Below are 13,303 nucleotides of genomic sequence, written 5' to 3'. Positions count from 1 at the left end.
TACAAAAAATACAAAAATTAGCCAGGCATGGTGACACAGGCTTGTAGTCCCAGCTACTTGGGAGACTGAGGCAGAAGAATCTCTTGAACCCAGGAGGTGGATGGTTGCAGTAAGCTGAGATCACGCCACTGCACTCCAGCCTGGGTGACAGAGCAAGACTACATCTCAAAAAAAAAAAAAAAAAAAGAAAAGAAAAAAAATGAACTACTCTTGATTGACAGTTTCTACCTTAGTACAAATTGCTAAATATTAATGCAATAGTGTTAGAAAGGGGAAACTATGCAAAAAAAAATCCTCGTTCAGACTGAGTACAAACCCAAAACACCTTAGACTTTGGCACCCACAAAATCAAAGCTAACAATGGGTTCATTTTCATTTTTAAAAAGTCCTTTACTATATACCCATAAAAAGTAATGTTTTTAAAAAGTCCTCATTGGTTCTTTTGCCTTGGGTGGGGCCAGAAACTGCAGTGTCTCCAGGATAACTTTGTTTAGTTATTAATAGCAATCAGTGGACTTCTCTTTACATTCCATGTAAATAAATGTGGTATCACTGGGCAGACTAGCCTGAAGCCTGGAATTCCCCTGAGCCCTGGATCAGTTAGGTAGGAGGGGAAGAGTGCAAATTTCTAAATGTCAGTGGCAGAGAGAGAAATGGGGAAGAAGGTTGTGTACTTACAGAGAGCAAGGAACTGTCCAGAAACCTTGGGTGATGGAACAAGTCAAATTCAGGGCTAGCTCAGACTGGCTTCAAACACTGCCTTAATTGTGCAGGTCATTGTACAACTCTTTCCTGGGACCATCTAGATGAGGCCAGTAACCCCTGCCAGCCCCAGCCCTGGAAATGTGACCTGCAATTGAGCTCATGTGATTTCAAGGTCTTTCTAGGGATTCTCTACTTCTCTTTGAGAAGTAGCACTTGGCTATTTGATATCTACTGTTCGATCCTTTCAAGAAAGTAAAAAGGTCACAAGTAAGAATAAAAGTAGGGAGGAAGCAGAAGGGGCTGACTATCTTCAGGAGCAGTGGTAAGTGAGGAGGCCCTGAATGCAGAATGAGGCCAGAGCCACCCAGAGCTGTCTTCATGGGGCAGAGGAAAGCTTCCTCTTTCCAACGGTGAAGGCGTCTCTGAATTTCAGTCAGGCCTAGGCCTCAGAGGAAGTAATAGAATACCTGGAAGAGATGGATCTCATTCTAATGTACTGAGCTTCCCCTGCTGTAGTGGACACTGTGGTGTGCTGTGGTGTGCTCCTTCAGGACCAAGGCATTCATTCCCTTGGATTCTAGGAGTGTTGGCTGCTGACGGCTCACAGCTGAGGCCCTCTCCTGGACTTGCCTTCTGCCAAGGGAACTGCCTTGCCCAGAGTTACATCCTCTCCACAGGGGCAGTTCCCGTCCAGAAACTGGCTGATAAGGTGGCACAAGACCAGCCCTTTTGCCTCAATTCAGGATCACTTTGGAGGGCTCCCCAGCTCCAGAGCTCCCTGCCATGGGCTGAGTCCTCTGTCATGACTGCAGCACAGTTCAGTTCCTCCATCTGCCTAATTCAGCATCCTCCAGTAGCCCACAGGCGTTGTTCCCAAGAGCATTCCCAGTAAACCTCCATCTGACAGTATGCTTTCCGGGAACCCCACCTAAGACTTTTGCTCACAATGTTTTTAATACCATTTATTGATCCTAGTGCTTGCCAAGCATGTGAACCACTTTAGTCATTGACCCTTACAAGGTCCCACAAGGTTGTTTTAACATCTTCTTTTTACAAATGGGGAAAAAAGCACAAGAGAAGCACTAAAGGTTAAATCATTTTGTCTAAGGTCACAAAGGTGGAGTTGGGATTAAAATCCAGATCAGCTCTAAGACTTGGCTTTTTGTAATTCACCGTGTTCTTCAAGGCCCTGCCAAATGCCCCGCCAAACGCCCCTCTGCCTGCACCTTCAGGATGCCATTCATGATCTCCTTATGATATTCTCATTCTCATTCTTTCTCTCTCTGTATATCTTCTTGTTTAGCCTCTCTAGGCATTTGCATTCTACATTCCATATGAATTATAGATCAAGGGCACTTCCAAGCTCCCTGGGAGAGAGCCTGCATCATGCAGACTGGGGATCCACTGTACTGCCCATCACATTCATTGCCTGGCTCATGACAGACACACAGGAAATATTTAGCATGTTGAGTGGACTTTTCACACAAGTAGAATCTCTATTTTCTTAGGGTTTCTGGGTATATGGTTTATGAAACTATATGTCTACACTGGGGTCTGCATGACATATTTAATCCTTAGTAGGACACATATCAATGTGATATCTAAGGACTATATAATACCCTGATTCAACTTTGGGGTTTTAATAGAGATTTCTAGAAAAAAGAGTTCTCATTGAGGCTTTGAGTGTGACATGATTTCTGAAGACATATGTAAACAAATCCTGGGATATTAAATTCTGAAACAGAGTTCAATCCTAAAGGCCCAATGTGACCACTACATTGAAGAATAAAAAAATCTCTCCATCTCCATCTCTGGCATCAGAGGACCCAATCACAGCTTATTACCTGGTGAAGCCACCAATCTCCAGCTGGTTTCCTGTAACTCATGTTTTTCCTTGTGGAAAATCATCATCCCCACCATCTTTACCATCATCAACCAAGTCCTTGCCATGTGCCAGGCATGGAGCTAAGCACTGTTGAGACATTATATCATTTGGTCCTCCTAGTAGCCTTCTAAAGTGAATACCATCGTGAGTCCCATTTTAAGGATAAAGAGGCTGGGCACGGTCACTCATGCCTGTAATCCCAGCACTTTGGGAGGCTGAGGCAGGCGGATCACTTGAGATCAGGAGTTTGAGATCAGCCTGGCCAACACAGTGAAACCCTGTTTCTACTAAAAATACAAAAATTAGCCTGGCATGGTACTGTGCACCTGTAGTCCCAGCTACTTGGGAGGCTGAGGCAGGAGAATCACTTGAACTCAGGAGGCAGACATTGTAGTGAGCTGCGATCGCACCACTGCACTCCAGCCTGGGTGACAAAGTGAGACCCCATTTCAAAATAATAACAATAATAATAATAATAATTTAAAAAAGGATAAGGAAGTAGGCAAAGCAAATTGCCTAGTTACACCCTTGGAAAAGTGGAACAGCTAGGGATCAAAGCCAAGACTACTAGAGCTGAGAACTAAACAGACTCCCTGAGATGGCAGAAACACAGCAGTTCCTAAGTGATGAGCCGGGATTCTTACCCTCAGAGTCCCTAAATAACCAATAAACACCAAATGAATAATGATTCTGTCACACACTTTTTTGCTAATTCTTTTTTTAAAAAAATCTTTGGTTTTTTGTTTGTTTGTTTTTGAGGCAAGGTCTCACTCTGTCACCCAGGCTGGAGTGCAGTGGTGAGATCTTGGCTCAACACAACCACCACCTCCCAGCCTCAAGCGATCTTCCCACTTCAACCTCCTGAGTACCTGGGACTACAGGTGCAAGCCACCACCAACCCTGGCTAATTTTTGTATTTTTTTGTAGAGACGGGATTTCGCCAAGCTTTGGGAACCTGGAGCTTTTATAATAGACAATAAGCCTACCTGAACTTTGACTAGGTGGACATCAAAAGTAGGAAAAAAATCTCAGATGCTCCACAGTTCTTGAACATTTCCTCCATCCTGGAACAGCAGAAACTCCCCTGGACTGAAAGTTCCAATAAGCTCTTTCTGGGAGGTGTCACCCATGGCAACGACAGCTGTGAGGTCATTGCCTCTGACACTTCCTTCACCACTAGTCATCCCAAGAGGAAAACAATAAGAGGGAGGAAAAGAAACTCTTACAGGTGGAAGAATAAAAAATAAAAATAATGCTGTTGATGGTGATGAGGAGGATGAGGATAATGATGTCAACAAGGAAGAGAACAGCAAGGTGGATGATGATGATGACAAAGGGCTGATGATGACAGTGATGAGGCTGATGATGACGTTGATGAGGCTGATGATGACACTGATGAGGTTGATGATGATGACAATAAGGCTGAGGATGTCGATGAGGATTATAGTGATGACAATAATTTCCAGACCAGCCACCATTTGCTGAGCTCTTCCTGCCTGGTGAGCACACACGTTGTTTCACTGAATATTCATAATATGCCTGCAAGGTAAAAAAACTCCATATTCTCTCACTTCCTTTAAAAATCTTTATCCTACTCTGTCTTTTTAAACTGCCACTCTTTGCCAATTACAATATGTAATCTCGACCCCAACAACACATTCCTAGGCCCCTTACCTTGGTCTACTTTTTCCCCACTACACTGATCACCTCCTAACATGCTATGTGGCTTACTATGTTTATTGTTGATGGTCTCTCTCTCCCAGCTGGAATGGAAGCTCCATGAGAACCTGGATTTTTGTCTGTTTTATTCACTGTTGCATGCCAAATATGCAAAAGGGTACCTGGTCATAACAGACCTTCAACAAATATTAAATACATGAATGAACTTAGCTTTATGTGTTTTGGGGAAATGTCACAACCTCCCCGGACTTTAGATTCCATGGCCTTAAAATGAGAGCTTGGTGGCGTCTATGGCTTGACCCATTCCTGAAATCCTGGAGCTCCACAGATGTCTGTGCATTAGTCTTCCTATATCATTACATGACAGAGTCATCATTTTACTTTTGTCAACTGTTTCAGGTTGGATTTTATTCCTTAATCAGTCACTCGTTCGTTTAACCAATTAAGCATTTTCGAGTTCTTCTGGACCTAAGCACTGTCAGTGAGCAGTTCCAGCAGACACCAGGAGCACGTGGGGTGGAAGTGGTGCTTGTCATAATGAGGTTCTGAAATTCTGACAGGTGAGAGAGAGCTGCCACCTCGCCAGCTGGCTTCAGCTGTGCAGGAAGTGTAGAGCCAGGAGGCCCTCAGAACCTTTTGCTTCCATGGATTTGAGGTACTCGAGAGTCACGGGGCCTGGGTTTTGTGGGGTCTTTGGCTCTGGGTTCTCTTTCTTTCTCAATCCCCCACTTTTATTGCCCCCTACTGACACACATTCATCTTACTTTTAAGCAGATGTCTATCTCATTGACACACTGAATTTGCATATGGTTGCACACTGGAGCAGAAGGAGGTGAGGGTTTAGGGTTCTGGTGTGCAGTAGGATATTCAATTCAACCGTCACATAGATAAAGAAACTCCTGAATGCACGGCTCTGTTCTGAGTGTTGGGAATACAAAGATGGCTCAAGGTGCAGTATCAGCCATCACAGGCTCGTAGTGGGAGGCAGGTTTATAAGTAAAGAATCCACTTTGGGAGCCTGAGACGGGAGGATCATGAGGTCAGGAGATAGAGACCATACTAGCTAACATGGTGAAACCCCGTCTCTACTAAAAATACAAAAAAATTAGCTGGGCGTGGTGGCGGGTCCTGTAGTCCCAGCTACTCAGGAGGCTGAGGCAGGAGAATGGCGTGAACCCAGGAGGTGGAGCTTGCAGTGAGCCGAGATAGCACCACTGCACTCCAGCCTGAGCAACACAGCGAGACTCCGTCTCAAAAAAATAAAATAAAATAAAAAACAAGTAAAGAATCACAAAACAACACCGTGAGTGCTTGATCTTGCAGGGGGTAATGTCATTCAGAGAAGAGAGACAGCCAGGGAGCATGCTTCTGCCAGGACATCCACCATAGTCCACAAGAAGGGATTTTCAAGATAGGTCTCAAAAAAGTGATTCGCAGATTGCCAAGTGGGGAAGTGTGGTGGGGAGGACAAAAAGTGGTCCGATAAAAGGAGTCAGTGGCTGTGAAGGCCTGGAGAGAGGAGGGCTTGCCAGGCTCAGAAGATATGCACTTGGTGTGGAGCTGGAGCACAGGGGAGGTAAGAAGGAGGCTCCATCCCTGGGATTCAGCCCAGCATGTGTCACATAATGGTGCCTAATAAATATTGATTGAAAGAGTAGATGAAGAAATAAAATGGGAAGAAAATACCTGCCACACAGAAGAGTTGCAAATTTTAAGACCTTATCTTGTTTACCCATCAGGCTCCTCTGTTGAGAATTCAGGTCCCTTGAGACAAAGTCTGGGTCATGCTCTCTACAGAGCCTCAGTTTCCAGCTCAGGCCTGGCAACCTGGGCCCTTGCACAGAAGACACAGGGAGGGTGACGTGTCTCCCTCTGTGCCTGTCCATGCAAAGCTACCCTTAGCAGGCCTGGGGGCTTTCAGGGGCCTGTGGAGCAGGGAGTAATGCCATTCAGTGAAGAGACGCAGGCAGCAAAGTTCTTGGTTCTGCCACAGTTCACTTGACAGAGACCACACATTTTATGGTGTCCGGGGCCCCGCATGGTCAAGCTCTGAGCTGGTTAGGTTGGCGGCTGCAGCAGCTGCACTAAAAACTGGGATGCGTGATGGGTTTTCCAACCCCCAATTTCCTCTCCCCTTAAATGAGACAGAGACTCCACCTAGCCCAGAGTTAGTCACCATTTGGATTGGAAGCCTAACTTAAGGGACCCCCAGGCTAGGAAGCAGGTTACATTCTATTTATTGCTCACTGAGCTCCTCTTAATATCCTGGTCAGTACAGAACAGAGCTGGGTATGCACTCAGGGGAAATGGCAACAGATGGAAATCTCTACCCCCTTGTGGAGGCTGGAATCTCTTTGGCTGAAAATAGGAAGGGATGGGATCCTGGGTGGTTATGGGTTGTCTCCCCACCACCCAGCAGGAGGCGAGCTAGCAGCTGTCCCCACCGGCCCATGTGCCCCTGGGAAGGGGAGAACAGCGCTGGGAGGACAACAGCCAGAGGACTCAGGCTGCCTGAGTCTAATCCTAGAGCTGCCTCAAGCTGGATCCCTGGATAGTCACTGCCTATGTTGGGCCTCAGTTTCCCCCTCTGTGCAATGAATGGGTCAGGTTAGACAACCTCCAAGGCTCATTCTGGCTTTGGAATTGAATGAACCCTTGGGCAGTGACTGAGGTGCTAGAGAGTATTTGGTGCACGGAGACAGCACACGGTCTGCTTCTCAGCAAGGGCTGCCTCTTGCTTTCACCAGGTGTGACAGTGCCACTGAATGGGGCTGCACTGGCTGGAATAAGCCACCATGGAGGTGGAGGGTGATGGCAAGATGGTGTGCTGCCCAAACCTCCAAGCCTGGCATCTGTTGGAGCCTGGGGGAGGGGTGAGCAGCAATCAGGCAGGTGGAGAAGGCACTCGGGAAGACCGGGGAGCCCTGGGTGCTGGCTCCAGGAACCCATATCGGCAGCGCCTCTGACTTGGGACAACAAAGAGTGGGGGCAGGCCGGGCACGGTGGCTCAAGCCTGTAATCCCAGCACTTTGGGAGGCCGAGGCGGGCAGATCACGAGGTCAGGAGATCAAGATCATCCTGGCTAACACGGTGAAACCCCATCTCTACTAAAAATACAAAAAATTAGCCTGGCGTGGTGGCGGGTGCCTGTAGTCCCACCTACTCGGGAGGCTGAGGCAGGAGAATGGCATGAACCCGGGAGGTGAAGCTTGCAGTGAGCCAAGATCATGCCACAGCCTGGGCGACAGAGCAAGACTCCGTCTCAAAAAAAAAAAAAAAAAAAAAAGGGGGGGGGGGCAGGGGGAGACTGCTCCTGGGAAAGCATCATGGGGAGGGGTCGCCATTAGTTACCTAGAAAACAAGTTGGCTTTGGGGCCTGTGTCAGGGACTTTCTAGGCCCACCGTCCCCACCTCTGGTGGCTTCCCATGTGGGGAAGCTGTGTTCTACTCAACAGCATCTGCACTTTCTGAAATGTATGTCTAAAAACTGGGCACCCCTCATTAGAAAGCCTTGGGGGAGAGGAGTAGTGGAGACTCAGCTGCCTTTCCTTGCCATTAAACCTTGAGTCCAGGTAGGAGCACAAGGCCCACTGGCCGAGCAGGTTCTGGGGACCGCCCTGCGTGCAGGAGCTCTCTGTGTAGCATAAAGCCATGCGGGTGAAGCCTGAGCCCCATCCCGCCTTGGTCTTCCCATTCCATTTGTTCTCACGTTAATTCTGGGCCAGGGGTGCAGGCAGGAATGTGTTCCCTGGTGGAATGTGCTGGGGGCCCCCTAGGCTGCTGGTGTCCACCCCCAATGTGAAGGGCCTGGTTGGGTCTGCAGTCCCCTCTTTCAGTGGAAAGTTTCTTCGTCTTCACCTCTGCTCTTTTCTGTCACTGTTTTGATCAAACACATGTAATTTATGGACTATGATATACTGCACTTCAGAATTGATTTTTGTGCTCAACTGGTGTAAAACATTTTTGGTGACTAATGCCTCCGGGTGAGATATTTTTTCGTTATTGATGTGTGCATGGGGCTTTTGTCCCCACGTCGTGGGGACTTCTGGCCAGGGTCACTCCCTGGTTCCCCGCAGCAGGAACACTCAGCCAAAGGCAAGGCAGCCTTTTGAACTAAAGAAAATATTAATTTAAGACATTGTTTCAACATGAAACTACAGGAGCCTTCAGAACTCCCCGTTAGTTTGATTCAAGGCTGAGTTGCGCATAGTGTCTTTAGGGCGAAGATTGGCCAACTTACAAAAAGTTTGTTGCCAGTGAACTAACAGAAAGAATTCTGCAAGGGCCCCCAGAGCTTCAATTCCCTCACACAATCATTTCCAGTTGATTTGCCTGGAAAATCTCTTGTTGGAGAAAGAAAAGCAAAAATAGCCCTGCTGCATCTTTGCTATGAAACCCAGCTGGGCAGTTACTGGTTTGTTATTCCTGAAGCAAGAACTGGGCCTCGTGGTCCGCCAAGTGTGAATGCACTTATGAGACCATAGGAACAAATGGATGTTGAGGATTCCTGGAAAATATGAATCCTGTGGTCATGATACATGTGACATTCCAACAAGAGCTCCCACTAATCCAGTGCCATGTACCTTGGGAAACCTGTGGTCAAAGTGGCATTAGTCCCATTTTACAGATTAAAAAACTGAGGCCCAGGTCCTTCAGATAGGAAGGGGGTGGTAGAGGTGAGAGTCCAAGTGTTCCTGACCCCAAGCCACACACTGTCCCATTGCACCAGGCTGCCTGCCTGCCTGGGCTGGGCTGTCCTCTGATGCCAGGATGGCCCAAGCTTCCCTCCCAGCTGAGTTCATATACACAACTCAGCAAACAGTTCCCATCCCCTTCTGCTCCTCTTACTGGGCAGGGGTTAGTCATTGGGAATGCAAATCTGAAGGGTAGGTTTGCAGCTTCTAAAGGGGTCGGACTTCATAGGGAGTTTGGTGAGCAGAGTCCACGTATTCATCAGGCACAGGGCTCAGGACAACCTTTAAGGGTCCATGAAAGTGTTTTCATTTTTATTTATCTTAAAATTCAAAGAAAGAAAGAAATATAAGAATAATGAATGCATAATAACACATCAAGCCTGGGTTATATTCATCTTTAGACCAATGCAGTTGTAAAACAAAATGCTAATTTTTTTATGGAGAAAGGGTTTCTGAAGACAAAAATGTCTAGGGCCCCTAAGTCATAACACAGCCCAGACCAGGAGGCAGGACAAGTAGAGGCATGGCCCTGGGTGTCACGTTGAGCACTTGGGGCAGGTGCACAAAGAGGTTTGGTAAGTACCAAGGATCTGGGCTCCTGAATGCTGGGCTGGCCTCCCATTCCCCAAACCCTTCTCCTCCCCCAGTGCTGAAGAGCTTCCCTGGATAAAGGAGAGAGGCCTAGAGCCCCCACAGAGCAGACAACCTCTGCACAGGGTCTTTGGCATCCTAGAAGGCCCTGGTTCCTCACCCTCTGGCTTTTCCACTCACCAATCCCACCAGGAAATGAGGTTAACCTTGAGGGGGGCTGAGACAGATGCCTCCAAAGAAGCCAGTCCTGACCCCATGCAAGCTGCTCACCCCCACCATAGGGACAGTCCTTCCCCCACGAAACCTGCTCATCCCCACCGTAAGGGACAGTCCTGACCCCACACAAGCTGCCTATCCCCACCATAAGGGACCATACGGCACTTCATCTTCTTAGCTAATGGCAAATAACAGCATCTTAGAGATCACCTACAAAACCCCCTCATTTCACAGATGGGGAAACTGAGGTCCCATGGGGAAAGGAACTCAGTCAAGAGGAGGCGTCTCTGCATTTCTAGAAGACCCTCTCCTTTCATATCCCTGCCTGCAGAAGATTAGCCTCCATTTCACACGGATCTTTTAGTGATGGCTGCTTGGGCTCATCAGAAAGGCTTCCTGGCAAACAAAATAAAACAAAGTGAGTCACTGTCTTTTATCCCCTGCCCGCATTCACATCTTCCTGTCAGGCAGAGTGCTGAGCCCAGGGCCCTCCAGCCGGTGTGGGGACCAGAGGCTCCGATGACATAATCAGGGATGGGGCACTTTCTCCACAGGTGCCATTTATTTTCAAGCATCCGTTCGATCCCTGCCGAGGGATGAAAACCACAGTGTCAACTGCCTTCAACTCCACTCCTTTGGAGGCCTGTTTGGTATTAACATCAAAGCATTCTGCATATTTATCATTCCTCCCTCGGCATTAAGCAAGACGTCTGACAGGCACACAAAAGCGCCATAGTTTCCACTTGGACTCCAGAAAGGCATCAGCAGGTTCAAACCCAAGTTGAAAATTCCCTCAAATAGGTATATTTTCTTTACTGGAAACCTGGGAAGGATTATCACTTAGCATCCTCTCCAAAATCAATTTACGTCCACTTACCAGTCGCTTCTGGTATAAAATAAAGGAGCTTACGATTCATCATTCAGGATTTAATCAATGACACCCAGCTAGCTCTGATGAGAACATTTCTGGGGTGGAGGATGGGATAATAGACAAGACCCTGTCTTTGGTCTTACGTTTTTTTCAAGAGCAATCATGCCTACTCTTTGAAATATAATGGGAACATGTTAAAATATAGATTCAAGTAGTATCTGACAAAGGAAAATATTCAACACTGGTTGTGCTCAAAGTACTTAAGTTTTCTTTGAAAAGTTAAGAAAAGGGCAGCAATCTGGAACTTTGGGGAAAAAAAACAAGCGTGCATTTGTTCAAGAAAGAAACATGAATAGAAACAATTTCTATCACGAGTGATAATTTTCTTACTTCACATCAAAACTTTATCCTGATTATTGATATGTCCATGTATGTGTTGGCTTTGCCTCCAGTGACAGCAAACAAAGCTTGTATAACTTTCAGGTTTTTTTTTTTTAGTGTGCTGGTGGACTCTTTAATGTACTAGAACCTAGCAGGGGGAGCCCTAACGAGGGGCTTCCCGGCTCATGCATCTGAGCACTGATCCTCGATGCTATGGCTTTTATCCTCTGCTCATGGTGGGACCCATGATTTCCAGGTGATTGACAAGAGCTGTGAGTGTTTCAGTAAGGTGCTTGGGTTTCCTAAGGAAGCTGAGTTTGAATGTGGCCCAGCTGTAGACTGTGGCCACAGTGGCTTTTGCCAGTAATGCTGCCAGTGGCTGAGTGCAGCACCTTCACTCTAAAGATGAGGGAACAAAAAATCAGAGCAGAGATGGGACCACCCAGCTCACCTTGCTGGAGAGAAACAGACTGAACCTACTCCCACTTGCAGCCCTGACCATCAGAGAACCCTCATCCTGCATGAGCACCCATCCAAGCAGCTCCCTGGGCAAGATGTTTTGGTGTACCTTAGAGATGAGGAAGCAAGAGACCCTGAACGAGTGATTTTCCCAAAGCCACAAGCTAAGTTGGCTGAAGAGCAGGGCTAAATTCCATTTGTCTGTGACCCTGTTGGGAGCTAGTTCATGACACCAGGCTCCACAGGCTCAGCCACGAATGTGGAATATCCTAACAAGGGAACAAGGGAGGCAGGCAAGGCTCAGAGAGCAAAGCCACCAAGGACCCCAACTCCAGTTGTTCACTCATTCATTCATGCAATAAATATTAACTGAGCACTTGATATATACCCAGCACTGGGTAAAGCCCTAAGGCTATGAAGAAGGAGAGGACATGGGCCTTGCCCTTGTGGACATCCCAAATTACTGGGGGAGACAGGCACATAACAGAGAGCGCCAGTGAAGTTATGCATGAACCAGGGGCAGGAATGTTTCTCTGCAGTAATCCTGGGAAGAGCACGAGGAACTTGGCCGTGGTCGGCCAGAGAAGCCACACAGCACAGAAGGGAGCTGGGGCTGAAGGGGGAAGGAGTTTGCCAACAGCAGGAAGGGAAAAGCATTCAGGAAATGGCCTGTACAAAGGCCCAGAGGCAGGGATGGACTCAGCTACCCAGAGAATGAGCAAAAGTTCTGTTGAGACCCAGTCAAGGAAGCTCAAGCAAGGAGCGGTTACAGAGAAATCCCCAAATCTCAGTGGCTCTGCCCAGCAAGGTCTTCCGTCTTGGTCTGATCTGGTGGTTCTCGTCCGCCTGAAACATGTCATGGCCTTTGAGGCTTCTGTGGCAGGGGCTGGGGACACAGCTCTCAACTGCCATGGCCTGGAAGTGTCATGGGTCACTTTCTCCCATCGCCCATTGGCCAGAGCTAGTCATATGACCCAATCTAACTGCAGGAGATGCTGGGAAATGCAGGCAGTGGGTGCATGGATATTTGGTAAGTGCCGCAGTTTTCCAGCAGAATGTGTTAGGAGGAAGGCACAAGGGGGATAGAGGGGGGCACGTGGGAAGTGGTGAGAACTAAGCCAGTCAGATCGTAAAGCGTCTTGAGGAGAAACTGAGCCCAGAGAGGTAGCTCAACCTGCCCACAGTCACCTAGAATGTGGCCTCCTGACCTCCAGGCCACTGCCCTTTCCATATCCACAAGAGTCCAAAGCCAGAGGAGCAAGCCCTCTGAGTGGGCAGCACGGGTGTCACCTGTCACTGCAGACAGAGCAAAGGACGTGACAGCATCTCCTCTCCAGAGCAGCCTCGGGGGCCATGGGCGGATTTTGGATGTCTTCCCCCACCAGGTGAAATGGGCCACGGATTGTTTCCTGGTCCATTCTAGCACACTGCAGTTTCACTTTCTCCCATAGGGGCAGCCCAGACCCTGGAGCCAGGCGGTTTGGGTTCAAATCCCAGTTTTGCCACAAACTAGCTGGGTAAATTTGGGTAAGTTGCTTAACTTCTCCGTGCCTCAGCCCTTCTTCGATAAAACAAAGGTAATTGCATCGCCTACCTTCAAGGAGATTTTATTATTTGCAAAGCAATAGCTAAATACCTGGCTTCCATGGCATTTGAGTGCTCTAGAAGGTACCTTCCGTGCATTGTTTCATGTAACCTTCACTTCAAATCTGAGGCAGGTAGTTTAATAGCCCATTTTGCAGACAAAGAGACAGAGCCATATCAGGCCAGTGGCAGCTGAATTTGGAACTTGGGACTACCTGATGCAAAGCTATTATTCTT

At 47.7% G+C, this 13,303-nt stretch overlaps 1 long non-coding RNA gene across 9 annotated transcripts in view; it reads right to left on the bottom strand.

Annotated features, from left to right (window-relative positions):
- LINC02641 (long intergenic non-protein coding RNA 2641) overlaps positions 1-13,303 on the bottom strand; it is a 214,291-nt gene that overhangs the window by 34,233 nt on the left and 166,755 nt on the right. For all 9 annotated transcript variants that reach the window (XR_007062326.1, XR_002957104.1, XR_002957105.1 and 6 more), the window contains one exon: positions 3,577-4,129. This is a non-coding gene — a long non-coding RNA (long intergenic non-protein coding RNA 2641). The remainder of the gene's footprint in view (positions 1-3,576; positions 4,130-13,303) is intronic.

Source organism: Homo sapiens, chromosome 10 (genome assembly GCF_000001405.40).
Source record: "Homo sapiens chromosome 10, GRCh38.p14 Primary Assembly".
Classification (NCBI taxonomy): Eukaryota; Metazoa; Chordata; class Mammalia; order Primates; family Hominidae; genus Homo; species Homo sapiens.
This window is presented reverse-complemented; position numbering and strand designations above follow the sequence as displayed.